This window comes from Homo sapiens, chromosome 19, assembly GCF_000001405.40.
Source record: "Homo sapiens chromosome 19, GRCh38.p14 Primary Assembly".
In the NCBI taxonomy this organism is placed as follows: Eukaryota; Metazoa; Chordata; class Mammalia; order Primates; family Hominidae; genus Homo; species Homo sapiens.
In genome coordinates, this window is record NC_000019.10 from 31,053,668 (window position 1) to 31,062,468 (window position 8,801).

Consider the following 8,801-nt stretch of genomic DNA (forward strand, 5'->3'; position numbering starts at 1 on the left):
CACAATGAGATACCATCTCACGCCAGTCAGAATGGATATTACTAAAAAGCCAAAAAAGTAACAGATGCTGGTGAGGATGAGGAGAAAAAGAAATGCTTATACACTGTCAGTGGAAGTGCAAATTAGTTCAACCATTGTGGAAAGCAGTATGGTGATTCCTCAAAGAGCTAAAAACAGAACTGCCATTCAACCCGGAAATCCCATTACTGGGTATGTAACCAAAGGAATAGAAATCATTCTACCACAAAGACACACGCATGTGAATGTTCTTTGCAGCACTATTCACAATAGCAAAGACAAGGAATCAACCTAAATGCCCATCAATGGTAGACTGGATAAAGAAAATGTGGTACATATGCATCATGTAATACTATGCAGCCATACAAAGAATGAGATCATGTCCTTTGCAGAAAAATGGATGGAGCTGGAGGCCATTATCCTTAGCAAACTAACACAGGAACTGGAAACCAAATACTGCATGTTCTCACTTATAAGTGGGAGCTAAATGATGAGAACACATGGACAAATAGAGGGAAACAACACCCACTGGGTCTTACTTGATGGTGGAGAGTGGGAGGAGGAAGAGGATCAGGAAAAATAGCTACTGGGTACTAGGCTTAATAGTGAGGGGAGGAAATAATCTGTACAACAAACCCCCATGACACAAGTTTACCTATATAACAAACCTGCACATGTACCCCAAACCTAAAATAAAAGTTAAAAAAAAAAAGAATGAGCGTTTACATGGACAGGAAAAGATCTAGTAATGTAAAGGGTGAGGAGGAGTGGGGAAAGTTGGAGGATCAGGGAAGCCTTTGTTGACCTCTTGAGCCCGGCTGCCTGGCTGGATGAGCCTGAGCTTGTGGGGAAATCTGAAAAGCACACACACCCAGTCACTGAAGTGGGACCCTGCAGGGGGAGCTCATTGCAGTGGACCCACAGTGGAAACTGTTCCCTCTGTAGGAACCACTGCCTCTGCAGACCTACAGCTAAGCACTTGGGGGCAGTCTTGGCGGTGCTATGGGAAGATGAGCTGGCCATAGAGCAAGAGCAAGGTGAGGCCATGCTGGGGCCCAACAGGCAGCTCAGCATCTATCTGTCAGCGTGTCTGCCCACACCAACCTCTGATAATGACCTCTGCCTCCTTCCCACCCTGGGAAGCTCACATCAATTCCTCCTTGGTCATTCTGGGAAATATCATTTGGGGCCTTAGACAAGAACTGTAGTGCCAAGTTGACAAGGCACAAGTCAGTCCTACCTGTCATGTTCTTATGTCTGAGATGATCCAGGCAGCATGGGAAGATATATTCCTTGAAAGACTGAAAGGGCTTGCCTATAAAGTTTTGGATGCTGGACAGGATCACCAAGAGGCAAGAAGTGGGAAACACATAGGAGGCAGCTCACAGGGCAAGCAGGGAGAGGGAGGATTCCAGACAATCATAACTCTCCACCTGTACCAGGGAGTGCTGACTGGAGCTGAGTGATCCCCACAGAGGTGGAATCACTCCTTGGAGCAAAGGACAAGTAGGTCCACACTCAGAGAGTGCATGGAACGGGAAAAGCTGCTTTCCTTCACCATTTTTACAGTATTAGGCTTTCTTTGTCAACTATTAAGCTTTTCCTTTTTGCTTGGTTTGAGGTTTTGACTAAAGGCAAAGAAAATTGTCTTTAATAGAAAAGTTGATTGAGAGGCTAAGGCAGGAAGATAGCTTGAGGCCAGGACTTCGAGACCAGCCAGGGAAACATAGCAAGACCCTTTCTCTAAAAAATAATAAAATAAAATAACCAGGTATGGTGGTATGTGCCTGTGATCCCAGCTACTCAGGAAGCTGTGGCAGGAGGATTGCTTGAGGCCAGGAGGTCAAGGCTGCAGTGAGCTGTGATTGTGCTATTGAACTCCAGCCTAGGCAACAGAGTGAGACCATGTCTCTAAAAAAAAAAAAAAAGAAAAGAAAAGAAAAGAAAAGATGACCTCATTGACTTTAATTGCCATTTTGTTTTTGTTTCAGTCAGTTTATTAAGTAATATGCCACTCTTTCACTGGGTTCTTTGTATCATGTCTTATGCTCTCTGAATTATCTTTTCTTCAAATGTTTTTGCTTTAATTATTTTAATTTACACAACAGACAACAATTCTAGCAGTAGTTTTCTTTAAATTTAGAGAAACAAAGGTTTAAGTGGTATTAACTGCTTCAAAAAATAGCTCTTGCTTCATAGTTATTTTAAATTCCCTGTCTGATAATACCAACATCTTTGCCATTTCTGAATCTATTTCTAACACTTGTTTTATCTCTTCAGACTGTGTTTTATCTTTCTTTTTAGTGGGACTTGTGATGTTTTGTTGAAAGTCAGATATGTATGGGGCAATAGAAACTGTGGTAAATCAGCCTTTAATGTGGGGATTTATGTTAATCTGAGTAGGAGTTGGGCTGTGTTTAATGTTTGCTGCAGCTGTAAATAACAGAAGCTTCCAGTTCCTCTAGTGTGCTTGTTTTGATCTCACCTCTTGACTTTGGACTTCCCTATGGACTCCACCTCAGAGAGTCTGCAACATGCAACATTTTCCGTTGTTATCCAGTGTTACGATAAAGTGTGATGGTAACATGTTGTGGCAGGGGACCATTCTATAATCTGATCAAATCTCAGTATTTTGGTGGCCTTGCTTCTCGGGGTTGTGACCTTTGCAAGTGTTGCTCCACTTCTAGAATGAATAAAACAGTGGTACAGTTTTCCCCTCCACCCCCTACTCCCTTTCCTGGCTTCAGTATTCCCAAACCATTTCCTTGAAGCCCAGATCCCAGATCCTGGCTGACAGTGTTCCAACCTCTACCCTTTTTTAGGTACCATAGGAAGGCTGGAGGGGCCTGAAGTGGCAGACCCTTTCTCTGCCTGGGATCAAGCTTCAGAATGGTGCTCTGGATACATCCTTTTCCCTGGAGAGAAACTCTTCGAACTGGAGAAGGCTCTAGGTGTATGTCATAATGATTAGTCCTGGTAAGAGCCATGAGGAAATCTCACCATGAGAACTTGTTGGGGTTTCTGGAAACTCACAGAGCTGTGGGGTTCTTCCTAAGACTTCAGCCCCTGGAGTTGCTCATTCTCACACCAGTCCACTTTCAACCTCCAGCAAATCACCAAAGCAGTCATCTAATGATCCTGCCAGTTTATGCCTCCTATGGCTTCAGCTCCAGGCAAGCAAATTTTTGTTGCCATGTCTGTCCAGATACCCCTGTCTTTCCAGGTCTCAGCGTGGCTTTGCCCTGCCACCTCATCAATGGGTCAAAGAAAAGTCCTTTCTTTTCAGTTTGTCCAACTTTCTGTTCTTGTTGGGACAAAAACGTTGACTTCCAAGCTCTTTTCTTGTTGGAGCTGAAACTGGAAGTCCTCATTACCCTTTAAGATAGACACAAAAAGGAATCTTATATAGATTATTTTGACTAATAAAATGCAGATCCAACTGCCCATTGAACATGTTGTAATCGGTATCTCTGGGTTCCCTGTGTCAATGTTAAGTACATCTTTGTAAGTGTGTTATTTTTTAGAATGGAAAGAGATGCCAATCAGGGCCTAGGGGGAAACACTGAAAGCTTTGGCATAGGCCATGCCTATTACAGTGTGAATTCTGGGCACCTTCTCCTTTGTCTACTCTTATGCATCATCAAGCGAGACTTCATGGCTTCCTTAAAAAAAAAGAGAGAGAAAGGGTTATTAGTGGGATCACAGAACAAAGACACTCTAGTTCATGCATCTCATGTGCCTGGGAAAGACCCAGCAAGATAAAGAGACACATGCAAAGGGAAATGTCAGAATTTTAAAATAAGCAATAAATCATTAAAAATAATAGTTATTTTTCAGAAACAATTATGAAAAACATAAACATAGAAATAAACCAAAACAAGAACTGAGATGCAAAATTGCACAATGGCCTGTTGAGTTAAGAAGTGAAGGTCAGGGAGACCCCATGATCTCAGAGCAGCCTATGTGTAGCATGCCTTGGCATTCAGGTCAGGCTTCCCCAAGACAAGCTAGGCGTTTGCCTAACATGGCAAGACTGGAGAGAGTATAAGGAGGAAGGAAGTAACACTGATTAAACATCTGCTGTCCCACATTTCTCTCACTCATCCGTTTGCTCATTTGAATGAATTATTAAGGTCATGCTACATGCCATGTACTGTTCTTGGTGCTGCTGATAGACAAATTAGTGTGACCTGGTGCATTCTCTTGCGAAGCTTATCATTCAGTGTGGAAGACAGACAGGTGGCCAGGTAACAACATTCCAGGGAGATACGTGCTAAAGGAGAAGTCTGCAGATATTTTCTTGGAATGCCCTTGGAGGAGTCTGAGCCTGCCAGGGTTGGGGCAGGGGATGCCAGGCAGAGGATTCCAGGCATAGCATCCTATACCAGGCACATGAGATGCAAGGGAAGAGAGTGAGCATGGGGACCAAGAGTGAAGAGTAAACCAGGCAAGGGAAGGGCCTGTGTGAAGCTCCAAGGCCCAGGGTGCAGGGGAGCATGACTTACTTGAGAATTGTTGGGTTCAACATGGATACCACTTAGGCAGCTGCTGGTAGGTCAGGATAATGCCTTCATCCCCGGACAATGGGAGCTATGAGAGGTTTCAGCAGGACAGCCTCATGGTCAGGTTTATGCTTCAAGGAGACCATAGTGACAATTATATATGAAATGGATTGGGTATATAAGACTGGTAGCACAGAGATCAGTTGACAACCCCAGGCAGAAGTGAGAGAGGCTCAAAATAAGGATTAGTAGTGGAGAAGGAAAGAAATTAAAGGGTTGAATACATATCGAGAAGGTAAAATGGCAGCACTTAATGGCCAATTTGATTGGGGACATGGGGGAAAGGAGCTCAAGTGCATGACCCAGGTCCAGATTGTAAGGAATGGAGTGATGGGTGGTTCTATGTATGAGGAGCAAGGAGGAACTTTGTATGAAGAGCAAGGCATTTTTGAGGGGATAGGGAAGATGATGACTACAGTTTTGAGTGTGTTGATGAGGCTTCCAGTTGGATGTATCCAAATTTGGAATTGAGGAGAGATCTAAACTTGGAAGCTGTCATAACCTAGATGAAGGGATTTGAAGCAGACCCTGTCATTGCCCCACCAATACTCCCTGGCCCACCCAGAAGTTGCTCACATGTGGCTGCCATTCAGACCTGTGGCTTTCTGTGTCTCTCTGCCTGAGACATTCTCTGGTTTTGGCACTGCCTGGCACCAGCTAGTAAGAGACAGAACGTTCTGGGAGGTGACCCCTCAGGAACAACCTTCAGTTGTTGAGGGAGGGACACTGTTAGATAAATACCCATTTTCTGGCCCCTTGGGGAGCCCATCTGTGTGCATTCCACGCCATTGTTCCTCAAAGCTGAGCCCAACCATTTCCCCTGGAAAGACTGCTAAAACTCAGATTCCCAGGCCTTCTCCGGAGACTCTGAGTTATTAGGCCTGGTTGGGAGGGGAATAAGATTTGCATTTCTATGCACATGAAAACCACAATGAGATATCCTCTCACCCTAGTGAGAATGGCTATTATTAAAAAGACAAAAAATAACAGATGCTGGTAAGAATGTAGAGAAAAGAGAACTCTTATACACTGTTGGTGGGAATGCAAATTAGTACAGCCACTATGGAAAACAGTATGGAGATTTCTCAAAAAACTTAAAATAGAACTACCATTCAATTCAGCAATCCTACTACTGGGTATTTATCCAAAGGCAAATAAATCTGTGTATCAGAGAGATATCTGCACTCACATGTTTAGCCTAGCACTATTCACAATAGCGAAGACATCGAATCAACCTAAGTGTCCATCAATGGACCAATGGATAAAGAAAATGTGGTATACATACACAATAGAATACTTTTCAGGCAAAGAAATAAAAACAAAAGAATGAAGTCTTGTTATTTGCAGCAACATGGATGGAACTGGAGGTCATTACATTAAGTGAAATAAGCCAGGTACAGAAAGATAAATACCACATGCTCTCACTCATATGTAAGAGGTAAAGAAATTTATCTCATAGAGATAGAGAATAAAATGATAGATACCAGAGGCTGGTTGGGTGTGAGGGTGGGAGGAGGAAATGAAGAGATGTTGGTAAATGGATACTAACATATGGCTGGATAGAAGAAAAAAGTGCTAACTATCAATGCTAGGCTAGGGTGACAGTCCTTAGCAAAAATATATTGTTTATTTCAACATAGCCAGAGGAGAGGACTTGAAATGTTCCCAACACATAGCTACTGAAGGTGATGGATACCCCAAATACCATTATTTGATCTTTACACATTACATGCATGTAACAAATACTCACATGTATCCCATAAACATGTAAAATATTATGTATCAAGAAAAGGATTTTTTAAAAAATTTGCATTTCTAACAACCTCTATTTTGCGATATCTCTCAGCACAAACCCAAGGGGTCCTTCCCAGTTTGCAGGAGAGGTAACCCCTGTTTAACACTCACTTCATTGACTTTCTGTCTTTCCTATCTCCCCTCCCTCTTATCTGGCTTCTTGGCATCACACTCCAAATGAACTATAGGCACCCAAATCCTTGTCTGAGGTCTGCTTTGGGCAAATCCTAAATATGATAGCCACTGAGGCCCCTGTCTTATGTATAATAAGGGGATGCTTGGGGAAACTATCTCAGAATTGTCATCCAAGTTGGGACACATGGGCATGCATGAGGGACACTCAAGGTAACACGGCAGCTTGGGGATTGTGCCTGATTCCTGTTCCCCTCTTAGAAATATTTCTATCACAGCACTATTCACAGTGGCAAAGATATGGAATCAACCTAAGTGTTCATCAATGGATGAACGGATAAAAGAAAAGGTGGTGGATATACACAATGGAGTAGTATGCAGCCATAAAAAAGAATGACATCTTGTCATTTGCAGTAACATGATGGCACTGGAAATAGGATATTCACAGAGAGAGGGACAGACATTTCAACAGGCTTAGAAGCCTGGCTTACTGACTGATATGGTTTAGCAGTGTCCCCACTCAAATCTCATCTCGAATTGTAGCTTCCATAATTCCCATGTGTTGTGGGAGATACCTGGTGGGAGATAATTGAATCACGGGGGTGGGTCTTTCCTATGCTATTCTCATGACAGTGAATAAGCCTCACTAGATCTGATGGTTTTATAAACGGGAGTTCCCCTGCATATGCTCTCTTGCCTGCCACCATGTAAGATGTGCCTTTGCTCCTCCTTCACCTTCCACCATGATTGTGAGACCTCCCCAGCCATGTGGAATGGTGAGTCCATTAAACCTCTTTCTTTTATAAATTACCCAGTCTTGGGTATGTCTTTATTAGCAGCATGAGAATGAACTAATACACTGATCCATGATATTAAGGTCTGTGGGAGGAAGTCTCAACAACCATGTGGAGATGGGGCCCAGTTCTGTCTCCATTCACTGTACTTCCTGCTCAGTAAGGAAGCATTAGTTATTGTTGTTGTTGTGTAGCTTTTGAGACATTAATAAAGCTCAGTTATTGTTATTGTTATTGTTGTTGCTGTTGCTGCAGCAATAATATTCTGTTATTATAGAAGCTTCAGGGAGTCAGTGTTAGTTATTATCATTGTCATTGTTGACATCATTCTATTAGGCCCTCAAGGAGTCTACTCCTTGAGGAGTGGTGCAAAATTCTATACCTTTTTTTGAGGAGAAGGTCTACAACTTTTATCAGATTTTTCAAGAAACCTCCTAAGAGATAACCTTTGATTTAGAGGGTAGTTTAAGTCCATGAGAATCAGTGAGATTGAATAGAGAAAAACAGCCAGACACAGTGGCTCATGCCTGAGATCCCAGCCCTTTGGGAGGTGGAAGTGGGAGGATTGCTTGAGCCCAGGAGTTCAAGACCAGCCTGGGCAACACAGGGAGACTCATCTTAAGAAGACTCACCTCTACAAATAATACTTTTTAAAACATTGTTAGGCCAGGTGCAGTGGCTCATGCTTGTAATCCCAGCACTTTGGGAGGCTGAGGAGGGCAGATCACGAGGTCAGGAGATAGAGACCATTCTGGCTAACACAGTGAAACCCCATCTCCACTAAAAATACAAAAAATTAGCCAGGTGTGGTGGCAAGTGCCTGTAGTCCCAGCTACTCGGGAGGCTGCGGCAGGAGAATGGTGTGGACCCGGGAGGTCGAAGTTGCAGTGAGGTGAGATCACACCACTGCACTCCAGCCTGGGTGACAGAGCGAGGCTCCATCTCAAAACAAACAAACAAACAAACAAAAAACTGTTAGTCAGGTGTGAGTTGGGGTGGCACGCACCTCTGATCCTGGCTACTTGGGAGACTAAGGCAGGAGATTCTCTTGAACCTGGCCTTTGAGGCTGTAGTGAGCCATGATTGTGCCCCTGTACTCCAGCGTTGGTGACAAAGGGAGACTTGGTCACACACACACACACAAAAAAAAAAAAAAAAGAGAGAGAGAGGAACAGTTCTGTGTGCAGATTGCTAAGTGAGCAGGGTCAAGTTCACAGTCTGGAGGCAGCAACACACAATGGTGAGCAAGGAGAGGTGGTGGTGTGGATGGCAGAGGGAGGCATGTTCATAAAAGAAGAAAACTGCCAACGGTGGCGAGCTCTCTAGAGAAACAGGCAAGGATGAAAGCAGACCATGCTCAAGGCATTTCAGGAGGATGGCGAAGTCAGGAGGCATCCCAGGATGACCCAGGCACTGTAGGGCGTGACTGAGAAGAAAGACAGCCCCAACAGAAGATGCCAACAACTCTTTCAGCGAGAGGGTTTGAGGAGACTCTGCAGCT

General features: G+C 43.7%; 1 annotated feature.

Annotated features, from left to right (window-relative positions):
- Positions 7,995 to 8,265: a silencer, noted in NCBI's record as "fragment chr19:31552568-31552838 (GRCh37/hg19 assembly coordinates)". NCBI's record gives its function as "represses an EF-1alpha promoter that drives an FKBP-Casp9 reporter gene in an ReSE screen in HepG2 liver carcinoma cells {active_cell/tissue: HepG2}" and the evidence as "EXISTENCE:reporter gene assay evidence [ECO:0000049][PMID:32094911]".